Source organism: Homo sapiens, chromosome 10 (genome assembly GCF_000001405.40).
Source record: "Homo sapiens chromosome 10, GRCh38.p14 Primary Assembly".
NCBI classification, from domain to species: Eukaryota; Metazoa; Chordata; class Mammalia; order Primates; family Hominidae; genus Homo; species Homo sapiens.
This window is the reverse complement of record NC_000010.11, coordinates 3,850,941-3,872,222: the sequence shown is the minus strand read 5'-3', so window position 1 is coordinate 3,872,222 and position 21,282 is coordinate 3,850,941. Positions and strand designations below refer to the sequence as shown.

Sequence of the window (21,282 nt, the reverse complement as noted above, 5' to 3'; positions counted from 1 at the left end):
GGCTGAGCAAGGCTACGGTGCTCGGCTCAGAAAGGAACCCAGAAGCCGTCCAGAACCGGGGTGGCTTCCCAGGGGAGTGGCCTCTGAGGTCGCAGGAGCCCACGCTCAGGGGTCCCCATGCTGGACTTTATGCTTTGCCATCTCCGTATTGAATTCCCAAATTATTTTCTCATGGAACTTGGGTTTTTAAGTGAAGCCTGTGGGGACAAGGAAGCACACGTGTGATCAGAGGAGAGAGAGGAATGGGGGACGAAGGAGAAGATCTTTATGCACAGTGAGATTGTCTTAGGTGGCTCGGACTACCATGGCAAATACTACAGACTGTACATCATTCAGATAGTCACATGCAGAGCTGGTAGCTCTGCACTAACAATAGCAAAGTCCATGGTACAGTCTGGAGGTGGCTAGTCCAAGCTCAAGGTGCCAACCGTTCACTTTCTGGCAAGGGTTCTCTTCCTGGCTGGTAGACGCAGCCTTCTTGCTGCTGTATGACAGGTGGGTTTGGTGGGAGACAGAGAGAGAGAGAGGAGCGGAGGGAAGTTCACTCTCTGGAGTCTCTTCTTATAAGAACACTAATCCTATTGCATCAGGGCCCTGCCATTATGACCTCATTCTACCTTAATTACTTTCTTACCCCAAATACAACAGCACCAGGGGTTAGGGATTCAATAGAGGACTTTGGCAGGCGTTGGGGAAACAACTTGGTTCCCAGCAGTACTATTCCAGCTTGAATTTTTAGCAGTAAAATAAAATCAAAAACAGAAAAGAGGTTGTTAGTTAAAAACTGGTATAACCACTTTGTGGAAGCTTACATAGTCATTCAATATTATATTTCCAAGGTCGTTCCATGACATAGAGAAGGCCTTGAGTATATGATAAGCACAAATGGTCACATGAAATTGTGCATAAGTACACAGTTTATTGACAACTACGTAGAGAAAGAGACATCTGCCTAGAAAAAAAATGCTGAAAGGTGATACATAAAAATACTGATAAAGGTATGTTTAGGTAGTAGGTATATTTTACATTTTTTTCTGTTATTCTGTATTTTCAAATATTCCTTCATGAATATATACTGCTTTTTACTAAAAAAAAGTTTGAATTATCCTATTAAATTTATGGTCATGATTTTTAAGAATAAAATAAATATGGAATAGAATAATTTACACACTACTAAATTGATGAGTTAATATTTTCCTTGAGTTTATAAACTCAAATTGGATCAAATTATTAAAATTCAAAAAAATTCTAAAGGAAGGTTATTTTTTGAACTTCGGTTCTCAAATGTAATTTGAACGTATTAACTTCCAACACTAGCAACAAAAATATCCATCGCAAACGAGAGTCATTTGCAAGCTTGCTTTGGCAAAATAAGCCCTTTTCAAATGGGACCTTACACAGTATTCCAATATAAAATTCACACTGAAATGAAGCCCCTCTAGTGAATACCAATTTGGGGCCCTGCCCATGCCCATCCTCCTGGAGGCTCCCAAGGAACCTCTGTTGAACCCAGGGTTCCGTGAGCCACAGTTCTAATGCTCTTGGACAGAGTAGAGTATGAGCCCTGGGTTTTAAGTCCCAGCTCTACAGGTAACTATTTGCATGATATTCAGAAAGTTGTAGCATGATGTTGATGAATTATATTATCTCTGGGGTCTCCTCCAAGTCTGTAGTTCTTTGAATCTGTTTGACTAGGGTGGACCATGCCAGTATGCATTTTTGTTTTCTTTTTTTTTTGAGATGGAGTCTCACTCTGTCACCCAGGCCGGAGTGCAGTGGTGCAATCTCAGCTCACCGCAAACTCCGTCTCCCAGGTTCAAGTGATTCTCCTGTCTCAGCCTTCCAAGTAGCTGGGATCACAGGTGCCTGCCATTATGCCTGGCTAATTTTTGTATTTTTACTAGAGATGGGGTTTTACCGTGTTGGCCAGGCTGCTTTCAAACTCCTGATCTCAGATGATCCACCTGCCTCAGCTTCCCAAAGTGCTGGGATTACAGGCACGAGCCACCGCATCTGGCTGCTAGTATGCATTTGTTTAAATTATCAAATGGGAATCTGAAATGGGGCAATGGGAATTAAGAAAAATCATCTTTTTTTATTTAGAACTATCTTCAGACATGAACCCTCACAGTTGAACACATTACTTCACAATAAATATAGGCTGCCCTTCCGTGCCCCTCAGCCAAATGCCTTTTTAATTTTTTTTTTTATTTTCAACTCTTGCAACTAAATAAAGCAATCATACCACTAGTGTGACGGTTAATTTTATGTGTCAGCTTGGTTGGGCCATGGTGCCCAGATATGTGGTCAATCTTTATTCTGGATATTTCTGTGAGGATATTTTTGGGTGAGATTTCCCTGATATGGGTGAGCCCCATCCGATCTGCCGAAGGCCTGAAGAGCACAAAAAGCTGACCTCCCTGCAAGCGAGAGAGAATTCAGCAGCAAACAGCCTTCAGACTTCATCTGCAACATCAGCCCTTTCTGGCTCTGCACGAAACTGTCTTCAGACTCAAACTGCAGCTTTTTCCTGAGTCTCCAGACTGCTTACCACCCCCATCAGATTTTGGACTCACCAAGCCTCCACTGTCCCATGAGCAAATTCCTTAAAATATCCACCTATCTATCTCCTATTGGTTTGTTTCTCTGGGAACCCTGACTAATGCAACCACCTTTATCATAAACTCGGAAGAGAATTCTCCATGACCCTCACATGTCTGCACATCTTCTGAGTAGAGGCCGTGAGAGTCTTTGTCCTGGAGTATCTTGTGAAAGATAGTTAAATAGTGAACAGCTTTGGAAGACAGAGACTGTGTGTCCTTCAAAGCAAAGGGCAGGTATGCCTACTGCTTCTTGTGAAAGGCAGCTTCCCATCCTCCAAGTTTAGGTTCACCTCCTGAAATGCAATCCACTGCATGTGCAAATGTCACCTGACCCTCCTTCAGTCACCCTCTGGGGGTGGGGAGTAGGAGAACCAAAATTGCTGATACTCTGCCTACTGCTATTGCTTGAGTCATAAAGTCCTTTTGGTCTTTGACCCAGAGTACTCATATCTTCTGTCAGCATTCACAAAACTAGGACAGGCTAACTTGAAACCTTACAAATAGGGTAAAATATTAGATCCTTCCCAGTTCCTTACAGTCCACATAAAATATGCCAAAGGGTCTATAATCAGAATCTCATCAAATGCATTGTGTGGTGTCTTGAAAATATATCTACAAATCCTTTGACAATCCTTCTTTGAAAAGGTGAGGTTCAATTCTGCTCCTCTGCGTGTCAGCTGGACTTTGTAACTTGCTTCTACAGAAATAGAATGTGGCAGAATGGGAGGCTAAGGTGGAGGGATCCCTTGAAGCCAGAAGTTTGAGACCAGCCTGGGCAACAGAGCAAGACCCTGTCTCTACAAAAAAGTTTAAAATTGACCAGGCGTGGTGTCTCACACCTGTAATCCCAGCACTTTTGGAGGCCAAGGTGGGCCGAATCATTTGAGGTCAGGAGTTCAAGAGCAGCCTGGCCAACACGGTGAAACCCCATCTCTACTAAAAATACAAAAATTAGCCAGGTGTGATGGTGGGTGCCTGTAATCCCAGCTACTCAGGAGGCTGAGGAAAGATAATCATTTGAAACGAGTAGGCGGATGTTGCACTGAGCTGAGTGTGCCTTTGCACTCCAGCCTGGACGACAGATTTAGACTCTGTCTGAAAAAAAAAAAAAAAAAGTTGAAAATTAGCTAGGCTCAGTGGCGTGTGTGCACCTGTAGTCCCAGCTACTCAAGTGGCTGAGGCGAGATGATAGCTTGGGCCCAGGTGTTCAAGACTGCAGTGAATCATGATCGCACCACTGCATTCCAGCCTGGGTGACAGTGAGACTCTGTGTCTACAAACAAATAAACAAACAAAAGCAAAAAACAAGACACATGAGCCATTCTATGGATGTCTTCAAATAAGCAACTATTTACTCTTATTGTCTTTATATGTGACAATATCCAAAGGGCAGCCTATTCACTCTGGAACATCTCACATGAGCAATTATACAGTGAAAGGAGCAAAAAAAGAAAAAAAATTAAAACCCTGAACATGAGCGATGGAATCAGAAGTGTCTATTCTGCCTCTTACTAAGAAGTGACCACACCCAAAGTCACTGAAGCTCTCTGATTTTCAGGTGATTTTGGATGACTAGTGTAGTCATACCTAGCTGTCTGGATAATTTTGATGATGAAATCAGAAACATAATAGCATTTATTATCTACTAAACATTGTGTACCGGAATTTAGAGCCATGATTTCTTTTAACATATCCAAACCATCTAGAATTGTGCCTGGCACATGTTATGTAATGCATAAACCTTAGGCCCTGTCTTCTCCCAACATAGAAGATTGATACTTGATCATGTGCCCATGATCTCAGTTTATGTGCCTTAAAATAAAATCCATGACTTCCTCTTGTTATGATGATGGCAAACATCTACTTGTAACTGTGCTCTAGTTAAAAAAAAAAAGTAATACTTCAACTTTTATGATTACAAGGCAATACACATTAAAATGACTCATTCTGATGAAGATATCAAAGTTACTGCTATCCAATGTGACTCTACTTCAGTCATAAAGAAAACGTTCTCATGTAGCCAGAGTCATCACAGTGGAAAAACAACTTCACTCCTTCCCTGAGCACTTGTGACAGCACCTCAGGTCTCACAGATGGGCTCAGGGGTCCCACAGGTGAGGTGCACACACCCAAGGTTCTGTACAGAATGATATATTGCAATACAAGTAAAAGAACATTAGAGCTTCTATGCACATTTATTTTTATCTGATTCATTTATTACGTGTATGTTTCTGTGTATCCTTTATAATGCTCAAAATATAACAGAAGACTTACCTGTCTCTATATTGTTTGTTCCTATCACTGTCTAATTGCTCATGGAAGCCACCCAGCAGGAAGGGGCTGGTCTTACACATCAGCAAATGTTAATGTCTTTATATGTTCATGATCAAAACCTTTTTACTGATGAGGTGTGTATCCTCAAAATATTTGGAAACCTCTGCTGCAGACCATCATTTAGATTAGAGTTGAAACTGACACTTAGCATTTAGATGGACTAAGACTAATTATGTCACCAATTTACAACAAGAATATTTTACAAAAATAAAACATAAAACGGCCTGGCGTGATAGCTCATGCCTGCAATCCTAGGACTTTAGGAGGCTGAGGCGGGTGGATCACTTGAGCTCAGGAGTTCAAAACTAGCCTGGGCAACATGGCAAAACCATATCTCTGTAAAAAACACAAAAATTAGCCAGGTGTGGCGGCACGAGCCTGTAATCCCAGCTGCTTGGGACTAAGGCAGGAGGATCACTTGAGCTGGGGAGGTGGAGGCTGCAGTGAGCCCAGATCACACAGCTGCAATCCAGCCTGGGAGACAAAGTGAGACCCTGTCTCAAAAACAAAAACAACAAAACCCATAAAATAACTGTATTTAAGGGCTACTACAGCAGTGCTTCCACCTTTCAGATATGTCTATGCAGTGATCACCAAGTGTGAAGTGGCAGTTAGCTATAACCAGCTAAAACTGTTCTTGAACCAGACTAATACGACTTCTTTTCAGAACATTATTTGCATGGTGGTCTGGAATACTTGCTGTCTTTGCTGCTGGTCGAGTTCTCTGACAACCTGAAACAAGTGTTGAGGAACTGCTTCTATTTGGTCTCCAACATATGTCACATATTTCTGGGAAACATGATGAGCAACAGTGTGGTCCTTGTGAGAGATGGTGTCACTCTTTCATTTGTGCCAAGACGTATGTTTCTGCTGAACTGCAGACAAGTGGGAATAGCTTAAGTGTAAATTACCAAAAAGGTGAATGTCCTGGGAGAAAACAATGTTAAACCAGTAACAGTTTGCCAGAGTCTGCTAAGCAGGATGTCTCATACGGCTTGTAGTATATCAGGTTTATTAACTTAAAGATCCACTTTATCAGATCTCTAGCTAATCACTGAAATGATCATTTTTAAATTTAACATAGAGTTCTCTATCTATATTTTCACTACTATAATAACATATTAGAACTACTCACTGGTAATTGTTAATTCAATATGTGAAAGTAAAAAACTGGTATCCTTATAAGCACACAACCTAGATAAAGCTCTTATATTCTTTTTTGGTACAGAGAGAGAGAGATGGGTGAAATATTATTATTTCATAATTATTCTGTAGACCAGCAAAACTGCCATCCCAGGAATCATTTGGTTACAGCAGACCAAGAGGTTAAAGGAATGGTGAATTATTCATAGTATCCTTCACAATTGTAGAACATCCAAATAGAAACCGTGAGAAGTATTAGAGATCATTAATTATTTCTAGTTGCACATTGCAACTTCAAAAAGTCTCAGGATGAGTCAAATTTCCACTGTGGTTGTACACTATGGCCTCATCACACCAACTTTTATATTTTAAGTTACATATTGGGAATTTCCTCTGTGGAAAATAAGCTTACGGTAATGCTATGCTCTGCACAGTAAAATTAGACTTGAATGAATGGTTGAAAGAATGATATTGACTCTAATATGCTGTAGCATACATGAGCAAGTGGTTATGCCTACCGACAGAAAATTAGTTAACAAGGAAAGCTCTCAAAAGGAGGTAAAAGCTATATTTAAAGGAAATCTAAGTCAATTAGCTATTAAATACAATTGACTTACACTACTTGTGATTGAATGTTGAAAATATGTGTGTTAAATTCTATAAATGGTAATAAACTGTTTTCATCTTTATGAATAAAATTGAATATTCTTTAATAATTTGAAATACTGAAGTCACAACTATGCAAGAAGCAGTTTCCCATGATCATGAGTATTTTATACAAGCTGCTTATACATTTTTATACTCCTTTTAGAGTTCTATGGAGGTCACAAAATAAAATTTTGCATTTTGCTTTTCTGTTATTTCAAGTAGGATATATAGTAGAGTAGTAGATGTACATCCTCCTGGAATTTTTTTTTTTTTTTTTTTTTTAGATGAAGTCTCGCTCTGTCACCCAGGCTGGAGTGCAGTGGCACGATCTCGGCTCACTACAGTCTCCGCCTCCCAGGTTCAATCAATTCTCCTTTCTCAGCCTCCCGAGTAGCTGGGATTACAGGCATGCACCACCATATATATATGTATATATATATGCACTTCACCTCCCCAGGTGTGTCTGCTGCTATCCCTGGGCTTATGTTTCCCTGAAGCCCAAGTCTCTTTCTCTTGCCTGTGAGAACCATGGGCTTTGCCAACTCAGAGGTGTGGTCTTGCTCCACTTCCATCTCCAATACCATTTTATGGGGCTGTCCTTCCCTGCCCCCCACACACCCATTCAGCCTGTGGGACTCTTCTGGGAGGGCTTATTCTCTATTTGTCCCCTGTGATCTGCATCCTGAGATGACTTACTGTTTGAGTTATTCCTGTGGCCTTCCGCTGACGATTTGCCTTCTGTTATCACTGCAGACATCATGGGCATCACACACTATACATGTCCCTGGAAGTTCTTGCGGGGACTGGGTTGTTTCTTAGTGGTTTGGAGTCACTGTATGGCTAGTGGATTCATTTCCTACGCTGCCATAACAAAGTGCCACAGACAGGGTGTCACAATAACAGAAATGGACTGTCTCAAGTTCTGGAGGCTGGAAGTCCCAGACAAAGTTGTCGTCGGGTTGTTTCCTCCTGAGGCCATGAGGAAGAACCTGTTCCAGGCCTCTCTTCACTTCTGGCGGTTGCTGGTCCTCAGTTTTCCTTCCTTGGTGTGTAGAAACATCATCCCGATCTCTGTCTTCATGTTCACCTGGGCGTGTGCCTGTGTCCTAATCGCCATTTCCATAGGGCTATCAGTCATGCTGCATTGGGGCACTGGAGGACCTCATCCTACATCAATCACATCTGTAAAGACCCAGTCTCCAAATGAGGTCTCATCCTTAGGTACTGAGGTTTAGGGCATCAACATATGAATTTGACCCAATTCAACCCATAACACCTAATGACGTCTGTGTGCCTAGAGGATGCCCCCAAATCCTGCAAATGGCTCCACTTGCACTTACAAAGGCCTCACTGACCAATATGCCAACATTTTATTTATTTTTATTTTTATTTTATTTTTTGAGACAGGATCTCACTCTCTCACCCAGGCTGGAGTGCAGTGGCAATCATAGCTCACTGCAGCCTCAACATCCTTAGGTAAAAGGAACCTCCTGTCTCAGCCTTCTGAGGAGTGGGGACCACAGGTGCATGCCACCATATCTGGCTAATTTTCAAATTTATTTGCAGAGACACGTTCTGGCTCTGTTTTCAGAACCCCTAGGCTCAAGGGATTCCCCCACTTTGGCCTTCCAAAATGCTGGGGTTACAGGTGTGAGCCACCATGCCCAGCCTGCCTACATTTACATGGATTTTAACAGGCTGTAATTGTTTGAAAAGCCCAACTCGTGTGTGTGTGATTTTGTTTGCATGATTTTGACTTGATGATCCCATTTTCTTGTTTCTCTTCATTCCACCTCCTTCAAGATGACAAAGGCAGAAATCACAGGCTTTACCTTCTCATTTATAAAATGACTCAGCAGGTGGGCGCAGTGGCTCACACATGTAATCCCAGCACTTTGGGAAGCCAAGGCGGGCGGATCACTGGAGGTCGGGAGTTCAAGACCAGCCTGACCAACATGGTGAAACTCTGTCTCTACTAAAAATACAAAAATTAGCCAAGCATGGTGGTGGGAGCCTGTAATCCCAGCTACTCAAAAGGCTGAGGTAGGAGAATCGCTTGAAACCAGAACGTGGAGTTTGCAGTGAGATGAGATCATGCCACTGCACTCCAGCCTGGGCGAAAGAGCGAAACTCCGTCTCAAAAATAAAATAAAATAAAATAAAATAACTCAGCAAGATAGTAGGAGTGCTTGTTTGCTTTTGTTTTTCAATCTAACAGCCTATTTTAACTGGCAAGTCTAGCAAACTGAACACTACTTTTGTTTTGTTTTGTTTTGTTTTGTTTTTTTCCGAGACAGGATCTTGCTCTGTCACCCAGGCTGGAGTACAGTGGCACAATCTTGGCTCACTGCAGCCTCGAACCTCCCAAGTTCAAGTGATTCTTGTGCCTCAGCCTCCCAAGTAGCACAGATTACAAGTGTGTGCCACCACACTCAACCACTTTTTTTCTTTTTGTAGAGACAAGATTTCACCATGTTGACCAGGCTGGTCTCGAACTCCTGACCTCTAGGGATCCACCCACCTCGGCCTCCCAAAGTGCTGGGATTACAAGCATGAGCCACAGTGCCAGGGCAGAACATGAGATCTGAAGTAGAGAGAACTGTCTTCTACTTCTCACTCTTTCAAAATCATTATATTAGGTAAAACAAAATAAAGTACTTCTGGGTTTTTTTATTTCAATTTCTTTTATCTAAGAGTTAATGAGTTCACCTGGGTTTAAGGAGATTTGTAATGGATTTTTAAATCCTTACTATTATTATTTTTATTATAATGTTGGGTTATTAATACTGAGCTAAAATGTCATTCGATGTGCAAAATGAAGTGATAAGTACCATTGAGCTTTTAAGAAGTACATTATAGAAGGAGTCCATTATGAAAATAATCTCAGGTTATAGCTGGCTCTCAAAAGACCTAGGAAATAAGGTTTTAAAACCAAGGTATTGCATGCCATTGTAACAAATAAATTTGTAAAACATACTAAAATCCCAATGTAATAAGTGCTCCTTAGAGAATAGTGACAAATTGTATTAACATTGTATTTTTTAAAAAGTAAAAAAATAAAGACCCAGTCCCTTGAGGTGGCAATGAGTGATATCCAGGGATGCTAGCACCAGAGCTGCCTGCGTACAACCTGCCAGGCTGGAGGGACTCTGGGCCCTTGAAGTTAGGGTCACCTGATGGCCATTTGCTGATGCCCCTCAGAAGTGACAAAAGGGTGCAGAATTACTCCTGGGGTTCTCCTATGAGCAAGGCAGACAGCAGCCTCCAATGGCCAGCAGTGTTGAGTGAGATATTGTGGAAAGAGCAAGGAAAACACTGGAAATCCTCTACTGGAAATGATGCGGATAATGGTGACAGAAGAATGCCGCAGCAGGAACCCCCAGGAGCGCTGAGGGCAGCTCATGAGGCTGTGGTCGCATTGGCCCCAGGGGACATGCTGTCACCATGCCCAGATGGAATGTGGCCAGTGGGGGAGATCAGCTGAGGCAGCAGGAAGAAACCGCTGGACTCGTTGTAAGGGCCCGGACGCCTGTGACGACGGTGACGACGGAGACACAACTGTCAGGAACAGAGTGTGATCGCTGACTCGCACTGTGGTGCAAAGTGCTCAGGACAGCGGGGACTCAGTCCAGTTTCCATGCAGTGAGAGTTCATGTTCACCAGCAGAGATGGGCATATCCTGAATGGGTTGCCAGGCCAGGGACAACGAAGTCGCAGAGTGTTGTCAAAAATAATAACAAGGGCTGGGCGCGGGGGCTCACACCTGTAATCCGAGCACTTTGGGAGGCCGAGGCGGGTGGATCACCTGAGGTCAGGAGTTCGAGACCAGCCTGGCCAACATAGTGAAACACCGTCTCTACCAAAAATACAGAAATTAGCCAGGCGTGGTGATACGCGCCTGTAATCCCAGCTACTCAGGAAGCTGAGGGAGGAGAATCGCTTGAACCCGGGAGGAGGAGGTGGCAGTGAGCCGAGATTGTGCCACTGCACTCCAGCCTGAGTAACAGAGCGAGACCCAGTCTCAAATAATAAAAATAATAATAAGCATACTAGACATTATGCATTGTATTTCCCCTGCAATCATGTAAAGTCATCTGTGTGTGTGTGTGTGTGTGTGTGTGTGTGTGAGAGAGAGAGAGAGAGAGAGAGATTTATATATAATCCAAAAAATGTACTTGTTTTGGTTTTACGTTAATTTTTTAACTGGCTGAGTAATACAGTCACACAGTTTAAAAATTAAAAAATGTACTGAAAAGGAATCAGGAAATTCCTCTTTTGGAAATGTTTTCAGATTGAATTCATTACACAAGATAGTCAGGCGCATGACTTTAGAATCACACTTCTATGTTGTTGTTTTTATCAGAATCAACATTCCCCAGATTAATCACCAGCTCCCAGTACGAATGAGCCAAAGAGAGTGCCTCAGACGGAGGTGATCATAGCACAGACCCACAGGCTGGGAGGACTCTGAGGGGCACCCAAAAGGAGTCTCCAAACTGTTTTGAGCAAGGGACCCACCCTTGACCTACGAGTCAAATATTCTGGAATCTTCTCAACGTGTTCGAAGATTTAGGCAAAAGATATCATGCGACCTATAATATAAATTTAACCTTTGGCAGAATGAACTATGCCATGACTTCAATCCATTGTAACTGGTATTGTATTATTTACTGTATTACTAATTTTTTGGATGACAGTTTTGAGTCCTCCAATGAAAGCAGAAAATACTCTGTGGTTCTTATTTGCCCATGGAAATGAAGTGGTAGGACAGAGTTCAGACAGCTAGGATCAAAACAAGATTTTAACCTAAATAGTTTGTTTTACCATGACATACAGCAGTGGAAAATTGTGAAAAATAGCCACTTGAATTAATGTATAAAACTTTGCTCTTATCTGTGTGTAATGTGACAAGCATAGTGATGTGTTATCGGCTTAACATGTCTTTCCTCTTCTCTGCACTCAGTGAAACCTCAACACAGGAAAACAATCATTTCTAATGACCATTTGGAAATGCTTCTTAACCTAAGAGCAAGAGAGCCAGAAATATATATGTATCTGTACATACATTTACATATATTTTTACAGATATAAAAAGTATATATAATAAATTTTATGTATTTATATAAAATTAAATATATATATATATATTGAGATGGAGTCTCGCTCTGTCGTCCAGGCTGGAGTGCAGTGGCGCAATCTCCACTCACTGCAAGCTCCGCCTCCCAGGTTCACGCCATTCTCCTGCCTCAACCTCCCGAGTAGCTGGGACTACAGGCACCCGCCACCACGCCTGGCTAATTTTTTGTATTTTTAGTAGAGACGGGGTTTCACCGTGTTAGTCAAGATGATCTTGATCTGCTGACCTTGTGATCCGCCCACGTTGGCCTCCCAAAGTGCTGGAATTACAGGCGTGAGCCACCGCGCCCGGCCTATTTTTATATATTTTACATATTTATATAAACCATATAGTTATACATATATAAATATATAGGTATTTATATATATTATAATATATAGGTATTTTTATATATTATAATATATAAATATATAATATATAAACATATTTATATTATAATGAATATATTTACATGTATTTGTTATAATGTTTAAATTATATATATTTATTATATATGTATAAATATATTCATTTGTATAAATGTATATATATTAACTTTTGAAAAACATAAAAGCAGGTATTTATCTTAAGTAGCTTCTGGAAAGGCCAAATACAAATGTATGCATTTTAGTGCCTTAAAAACACTCCAATACGTGCAATTATTTTTAATGAATTCAGTATTATTTCTACTATAAATTCTTGGCAAAATTGGTGAGAATTTTGTGAAGGAAGTTTTGTTCTTGCTCTCTGAACTATAAGATGTTTTGAAACGTCTTAAAGAACAGGAGGAATAAGACTAGGAGTTGCTTTAAAGGCTGTCTTCATCTCTGCAACTTTACAGCCCAAATACTTTTGGCATTCAACAAAACTGAGTTCAAATCCAGGCTCTGCTATGTTTAATAGAGCACTAAATGGGCTTCTAAGCCTCTTGGAGCTTCGGTAAAATGAGACGGATAATATTGACCTTAGTGTGAAAATTGGGTTAAATTAGGAAAAACAAATGAGATAATGGGATTGAGTGAAAATGAGGATAACTCTTACTTTAGCAGAAGGATTAAATTAAATAATGTCAGACCAGGTGTGGTGGTGGCCCACACCTGTAATCCTAGCATTCTGGGAGGCCAAGGTGGGTGGATCTCTTGAGCCCAGGAGTTTGAGACTAGTCTGAGTAAAATAGCAAGACTCCATCTATACTAACAATAATAATAATAATAATAATAATAATAAATTAGCAGAAGGTGGTGGCGAATGCCTGTAGTCCCAGCTACTGGAGAGGCTGAGGTGGGAGGATCCCCTGAGCCAGGAAAGTTGAGGCTGCAGTGAGCTAGAATCACACCACTGCACCCCAGCCTGGGTGACAGAGTGAGATCCTTCATAGACATTATCTGATTTTTTTTTAGCCTTCAGCAGAATTTTTTTTTTTTAAATAAAATTAGATAATGTCTGTGAAGTGCTCAGCTCCCTGCCTGGCTGTCGTAGTTGCTGGAGAAGAGACACATCACCGAGGGGCATTGAAGGGGACTTTCGCTGAATGGCGGTATGATATGACTGGCGGTGGGCTTCTTTGGCCAGCCTAGTTAGGATGGCCCGGGTGGGCAGGAGTTGGAGATCAGCCTGGCCAACATGGCATGCCCCAACGTTAGCAGCTTAAACCAACAATGCCTGGTTATTTTCCACACACCTGTGAGTTTTCTGCTTAGACCTGTGTGTGAAGCCTGGGCTCACACTGCAGCTGCAGTCAGTGTGCTGGCTGGCAGGACGAAGGGCTCACCTGCACACTGAGTGCATCGGGCATAGCGGATGCTGTTCCTCTTCTTTGCAAGGCCTTTCTCTCCAAGCTTCTTTGCAGAATGGAGGCTCACAGCTGTGTCCCAAGCGGCCAAGCTCTGGGGTCTTGTGCTCCCTCCCTTGAACAATGCTTGCATCCTGCTGGCTGCGCTGTGTTTGCATCATGTGCTCCAAAGTCCCACTGGCCAAGTCCAGATTCAATGTAGACAAGAAATACACAGCAAATGAGAGTTGAGCAGGGCTATTCTTGGAGTGTCTTCATCTATTGGGGCTTCTATAACAAAGTACTTCAGACGATTAGGCAATTTATGAACAACAGAAATGCATTGCTCACAGTCCTGGAGGCTGGACAGATCAAAGAGGCAGCAGATTTTTGAGCAGGTCAGGTCCTGTTTCTCATAGATGGTGCCTTCTCTGTATCTTCTTGTGGTGGGAGAGGCAAACACCCTCCCTCAAGCCCTTTTGTCGGGCCACTAACCCCATTCATGGGCACTTCACCTTCACGGCTTCATCACTTCCCAAAAACCCCACTCTTAATCTTCATGGGCATTAGCTTCCAAAATATGAATTTTGGAGAGAAACATACCTTCAGATCACGTAGTAATCTAACAAAGTGCAACCTTATATTTACAAATAAGGAAACTGTGGCTCGTAGACATTAAGAACCTTGCCTGGCTGGGCATGGTGGCTCACACCTGGCAATTTGGGAGACCAAGGTGGGAAGATTGCTTGAGCCCTGAAGTTCAAGACCAGCAGGGGCAACATAGTGAGTCCCTGTCTCTACAAAAAATAAAAGAAAATAGGCTGGGCATGGCGGCACATCCCTGAAACCTCCGCGCTTTGGGAGGCCAAGGCAGGTGGATCAGGTACTTGAAACGGCCCCTTCTTCAGCAGCTCAGGCTGCTGAAACAGAACACCGCAGCCTGGGTGCTTCAACAAAAAGAAAAATGCATTTCCTCTCAGCTCTGGAGACGGAAAGTCCAAGATTGAGGTGCCAGCAGGGTTGATGTCTGACAAGGCCTCTCCCCTCGGGTTCAAAGGGCCACCTTCTCAGTGTCCTCACATGGCCTTCCCTTTGTGGGCATGGGAGAGAAAGCGATCTCTGGTCTTCTTCCTGTTCTTGTAAGGACACCCGTCCTATTGGATTAGGGGCCCGACCTTATGACATCATTTAATCTGAATGACCTCCTTAAATGCCCTATCTCCAAATACAGTCACATTTGGGGTTAGGACTTCAATATTTGGATTTGAGGGGACGTGATTCAGTCCATAGCAGGCTGTATTGTCTAGAGGAAGCTTGGCAAGAGCTGGGCCGGTATCACTCAGGCTGTGTAAGGTCCAGGCCCTCGGAGGCCACTGCTCACGTCCAAGCATGAGCCTTGCAGGAGACCCTCAGAGGCTGACTTCCAGCTGCAGCACCCCTAAAATGTGTTCCCATGCACTCCACACCTTTGCTTTGCATTCAAACAACTAAAAATAGCAATAAATAAATAAATAAATAAACAAATAGGGGCTAAAATCTTTAAGACTTCACACACACACACAATTTCAAAAGACTGCTTGTTAGTCAAGAGCTACTAGAAATGACTTCTCTGTTATTGTTACTTATTTTAAAATTACTCTACATAAGGGATCTCCTATATAGCTCGCATATACATTAAACTGAAATGGTTTCTTCCCTTCAGCTCCGCACTAAAATCCAAACTCAAGAGAGCGGAGATTTTGTTTGTTTACTCATGTTGTAATCCTGGTGCATAGAACATATTGCTCTGCACACAGTAGGTGCTCACTAACTGCTGTTTGGTTGGAGAATGAATGAGGGCAGAAACGTGCATGTGCCTAAGTACTTTCTGATTCTTTGTCTCTTAGAGAGATCATATTTTGCTCTTGTATTGAAAATGACTTTGCATGTTCAACTAAAATGATGTGTTCAGGCAGACACACGCTCATGTTGCTTGGCAATGAAACACCGGCGCCTAAATGTGTTCTTAGACATTTGTTGAATAAAATGATAGGTGAAAGAGTCAATGAGATTGGAATAGACTAAGATGAGTGGGAAGACTTTCGCTAAGTGACATTTTTGAAGCAGCATTTTAAGACTGACCGGGTCATTGTGTGCAGAAGTCTTGAGCACCGGAGAAGGGAGAGCATGGCTGGAGGGAGGAAAGGTTGGAGGCAGAGCCCAGACCAGCCTGAGACAGGGAGGGCAGAAGCAGCGCAGCGCCTGGGAACACCCAACAGAAGGGACATATCGGGGCATCACTGAGAGGGCGAAGGGGAAAGTCTTCTTGGTTTTTGAAAAGAAGAAAGTATTTAGGTCGAGAGGAAGAGAACAAACTTTTTTTATTTTTTAGATGCAGTCTCACTCTGTCACCCAGGCTGGAGTACAGTGGTGCCATCATAGCTCACTGCAGCCTTGACCTCCTGGGGGCAAGAGATCCTCCCACCTCAACCTCCCCAGCAGCAGGGGTCACAGGTGAGCACCACTGTACCTAGCTAACTTTTTAAAATTTTTAATTTTGTGGAGACGGGGTCTTGCTATGTGGCCCATAGGCAGGTTGCAAACTCCTGACCTCAAGTGATCCTCCCACCTTGACCTCCCCAAGTGCTAGGATTACAGGCATGAGCTACCTCACCAGGCTGAGAACAAGCTCTTGAACCTCAAGTGTGAGGCTCGAGGGAAAGTGAATACCATCAACACGTTAACCAAAAGGTGAGGCCTTGTTTGGGCAGTTACAGCTCACCTGCCTACCTCCGTCCTCTCGCATGGGGAAGCTATGCTGGCCTCATGATGGTGTTTGTCAGATCATATTGAGATTTTCTATGCCGAGAAAGCTGTGAATGTCTACGGTTAAGGCATGGATTGCAAATCCAAGTGCTATGGACTAAATGTTTGTCCCCAACCCCCGTGGGCCAAAGGCATATGCCGAAGCCCTAACTCCTGAGGTGATGTATTAGGAGGTTCAGGCTTTGGTAGGGGGAAGGTTTAGATGAGGTCAGGAGAATGGCAGCCTTGAGATGGGATTCTAGAGGAACCGCAGGAGGCTTTGCTTCCTCTCTCTGCGCCCCGTGAGAACACAGTGGGAAAGCAGCCATCCCCAAGCCAGGAGCAGAGTCCTCACCCAAAACCCACCACACTGGTACCCTGTTCTCAGATTTCCAGTTTCAGAAGTGGGAGAAACAACTGTCTGTTGTTTAAGCCACCTGTCTCAGGTATTTTGTTATAACAGCCCAAACCGATTAAGACACTAAGACCCAGGAGACTGGGTTCTGACTTGCTAGTCTCTGGCTGTGTGAATCTGGTCAAATCACCCTAGTTCACCAGCTCATATAGCTTTTCTCATCTGTTAAAGAATAGACTCTCTTTATCAGAAGGTTGCTACGAGAACTCAAGGCAATGATGCTAGAAGTTGTGTAGCACACTGCTCAGCAGGTCATAAATGGCAGTTGTAGTTATCAGCCTCTCCGACTTTAAATGTAGGTGGCTCTGGAGAAAAAGAAGCCTCAGCATCAGCACCACACAGATCATCTGAGTCCTAGAGCCCAACCAGCCTTGGAGGCCACATGGTACGAAACAGCAGCCAGACACCAAGGTACTTGGTACCAAGACAATACTCCTGATCTCCATCATGAACCAATCTATGCCTTATGGGTGAGCTCCCATGAACCCGAGGAGGAACCACGGATGTGAGCTGGCTCGTGCACCTTGTCCATTCCCTGCCTGAGAGGCCTCTTCTGAGTGCCCAGGTGAGGCTGCACAAGCCTCTGGGGTACTTCCTTCACATTCCTTTCCCTTTTCAATATCTACAGGCATTTATGCTCCAGGCATCTGTAATCCCAATGCTTTGGGTGGCTGAGGCAGGAGGATCACTTGAGGCTAGGAGTTTGAGACCACCCTGGGCAACATAGTGAGAACTTGTCTCTACTAAAAAAAAAAAAAAAAAATGTAGCTGGGAGTGGTGGTGTGCACCTTTAGTCCCAGCTATCTGGGAGGCTGAGACAAGAGAATCGCTTGAGCCTGGGAGGTCAATGCTGCAGTAAGCCGTGATTCCACCACTGCACTCCAACCTAGGTGACAGAGTGAGATCCTATCTATGTCAAAACAAAGCCAAAAAGCCTTTATACATCTCTTGGTTTTCAAATGAACGCTTATATAAAAGCCTGCTGTATAAAGCAGATCTAAGTAGACCTGCCCAGTTTATGCACAGATCAGTGAGGGACAGAGCGGGGAACCGGGTGGCTGGGAGGAAAACATGGGCACGTGCACCTTCAGTCCTAGCTGCTGTCCGGGCTGGTGAAGGATAAGGCGAGGCTGAGACTCTCAGACTCCGAATACAAACAGTATCATCCGGTTTCTGATTTGTTAGGGTGAAAAGGGAGAAATACAATGTGACCAGTCTATTCTGGGCCCACAATGTATTAGCAATTACCTCCCAACCACCACCCTGCAACATAGTATTCAGATTAAATTTCCCTGGGAGAACAGACTGCAAGGCATGGAAAGCACCTTTTACAAAATTAGGGACCTGTGGATTTCCAGAAGCTAAAAATGATAACGGGCTTTTATTAGGAACCCAACAGGGGGCCATAACCACTCCTAAAAAACCTTATTAGATGCAGCCCACACAGGCATTCTGCAAGGAGATCTCCGTCCCCAGGGCATATTCCTTTCCCAGGAGTGGAGTGGACGGTGCTAGGACCCAACAGCACACATGTGCAAAGTGTTTGGCCAGTGTTCTGGAACGCAGCCTGTGGCTCTTCAATAAAACTTTCCTCAGAGCAAACAAGCAGGCTCTAGAGGTAATCACACATAGTCTCTTATTCCCATTAGCAACCCCAAACAAGCAAGTGGCCTTACCCAAATAGTAGAGAAGCCTAGGTTATTTTTAAATCTGCTCAGTTGAGTGTGTTTCAGAATTTGTGATTTCCTAACAACAAAAAGCTTGGTACCACTGTTGAAATGACAGGAGAATTCCGAAGCAGGCGGAGCAAGGAGAGAGAGAGGCAACCTAGGGCAAGGCTCGCATTACAGATGAAGGCAAAGAAGGAAGCCCTATGTAGAGGAGACTCTTTCTGTCTTTGGAAAGTCTGATGAAAATCGGGTCTAGAAAACCAGCTATGACTTTGGAGATGAACAGAGGAATGCATTAGGCGGCTTTTCTCTCAACGTATTTGGCTTCCTGTATATTTAAAAATAAATGTCTTCCAAACTAGCTTCGAGGACTGCATCCACGAAAGCAGCCTGGCTGCAAAGCCCAGGAGGTCGCAGCAAGTCAGGGAGGTGGAGGCCTCTTGGTTTTCCATCATATTTCTCTGGAGGCTTCAGGTGCTCCAGGAGGGCACCGCCTGCTGAGTCGGTTCAAGTCAACACGACACAGCTGGAAACCCCACAGCCTGGGCAGTTGAGCCGCCGCTGTGTGGTGGGAACACTGCACCCCCTCTGAGCTCCCGCCACCCAGCCTTCCCAAGCCACGCTGCCACCCTCCTGCAGACCTGGGTGAAGAGGGGCAAGAGGCTGTCCTACAGAGATGCTGAGGGTGACAGCTGCAGAATCACCAAACCTTGCTTGGCTGAAAACAAACGTGAATTCCACATTTTAATAAAACAGAAATTTTAATCTTCTGGACACCTGATGATACAAGTCAACCTATTTCTTCTGAATCGCATCTGAAACCAGGAGTTATCACATATTTCAAGATAAAACCGGACCGGGCTTTAAATGTATGATATTATTTCATAATAAAATTTACTTTTTAATATACCTAATAACTGAAAACCTAATGCTACAGTCCGCCATGCTTTAAAGAGACTCACGTAATGACCTGAAGGAAAATTTCCCTCTGAGATAGTCATTTCTTGGACAACTCCTTTCATCTGTAAAGGAGGAAATGAGTCAGCTTTACTAAGCGTTATCTCATGATTGGTGTTTTGTTATTCAGTAGGCAGAGAACACATTTTGTTACCTATAAAGCCTGTTATTACCAAGGGTACAGGTCACTACTGAAACCTCCTCTTCAAACAACTACAGGTACTGTTGTCAAAGATCTTAACAGACTCTGATTGGAAAAGCGCCTGGCTGGTCACAGGACTGCATGACTCACCGCTCTGTTCAGCATTAGCTAAACACAAAGCTGAAAGAACAGAATCAGCTTCATGATGTCATTTCTTCTCTATGTGTCTTTAACATCGCTGAGATATGTTAGAGGTTGTTGAGTAATACACGAAGCTTTCAAATAAGAAGAATGTGTCTGAGATACTTAGAGTAAGAACACATTTCAGGGTTATGTTTGAATATAAACATAATACATGCTCCAGGAATTCAGGGTTTGTGTTATTTGTTGATACAAAGTGTTCCGCAAGGTTTTAGAGCATATACACTAATCACCTAGGTTGGTTAAAGTTTAACTCAACTGAAATATTTTGGACTTAAAGAACCACTTAAGATATCAAGTTCTCAGAACTGATTGAAAAGAAAGAGCTCTCATCTACAGTTACCTGAAACATACCAAAAATTTCCCTGCAAAGATCATAAATGTTTCAGAATCAAGGAGAAATATGAATACTGTTTCCATATAGGTGGTGGGATACATTAGTACCTTTCTCTCTTCTTTCTATTCTTTACATATATTTAAGGAGCAGCCATTGCTTTTCTAGTTTAAAAAAAAAGTAGAAAAAAAAGTTTTTCGTTTTTCTCAGTTAGCTCTCTATGGTGAAAAACTCAAAAGCCAAAATGATGGACTCAGTAAGTTGACAGCCACCTTAAATCTGTGTTGACACCTTTCTTTGTAATGTCAGCAAAACTGTGTGACTGAAGATGAGATCACTGTTTACCTAGCTCTGCTATTGGTCTGAAACGAGCAAGTGTGAAAGAAATTCCCATATTTATCTGTTGGTGTAACCCTTGCAGCAATCTCTCCTAAGAAGTTGAATCACTCATTTTGGTAAGACCCAGCCAAAGATGAAGAAAGTATATTTAATCCAGCTGATGAGACGACTTACTTGGGCCAGATTTAGTTGGAAAGTTGCATGCTGGGGCAGGGTAGGGAGTGTTTCATTTGGGAAACGTTTGGTATCATGTGAAAAAGTTATGTTTCTTTCAAATTGAGCAAATCACTATTTAACTTCCTTTTTCCAGCCTTGCCTGTTTGCTTCTGGGAGGCCTTAAGAAAATATAGAAGATGTGTCAGACTCAAAAGAGGAAGTTAAGAGTCTGAAATGAGATGCCACATTCCCCTTCCTTACTCCTAAGTAATATAGCTTGTTTGTTAAGAAACTTGCTTCTATACACATTGTCCAACTTGTTCTGTGAAAGTTGTAGCGTTCAAATAATGGGTAATTTGTCACTAAGTTGTACTTTCATGGAAATATCACTTGAGCAATAACTTTCTAATCTTTTTTTTTTGGAGACAGGATCTCACTCTGTCACCCGGACTGGAGTACAGCGGCACCATCTTGGCTTACTGCAGCCGTGACCTTCTGGGCTCTGGCAATACTCCCACCTCAGCCTCCCTAGGAGCTGGGGCTACAGGCACATGCCACCACGCCCAGCTAATTTTTGTAGAGATGGGGTCTCACCAACTTTCCAGGGCTGATCTGGAACTTCTGAGCTCAAGTGATCCACCCACCCTGGCCTCCCAAAGTGCTGGTATT

General features: G+C 43.0%; 3 annotated features.

Moving 5' to 3' along the window:
* Nucleotides 2,021-2,520: an enhancer, noted in NCBI's record as "H3K27ac hESC enhancer chr10:3911895-3912394 (GRCh37/hg19 assembly coordinates)". NCBI's record gives its function as "activates a minimal SCP1, AML or CMV promoter by ChIP-STARR-seq in naive H9 embryonic stem cells {active_cell/tissue: H9 hESC(naive)}" and the evidence as "EXISTENCE:reporter gene assay evidence [ECO:0000049][PMID:30033119]".
* Nucleotides 18,792-19,991: an enhancer, noted in NCBI's record as "BRD4-independent group 4 enhancer chr10:3894424-3895623 (GRCh37/hg19 assembly coordinates)". NCBI's record gives its function as "activates an origin of replication core promoter dependent on BRD2, P300/CBP, MED14 and CDK7 cofactors, and independent of BRD4, by STARR-seq in HCT116 cells {active_cell/tissue: HCT116}" and the evidence as "EXISTENCE:reporter gene assay evidence [ECO:0000049][PMID:35650434]".
* Nucleotides 20,700-21,056: an enhancer, noted in NCBI's record as "KLF6-I DHS fragment used in reporter constructs". NCBI's record gives its function as "activates the minP promoter by reporter assays in K562 erythroleukemia cells {active_cell/tissue: K562}" and the evidence as "EXISTENCE:reporter gene assay evidence [ECO:0000049][PMID:23985037]".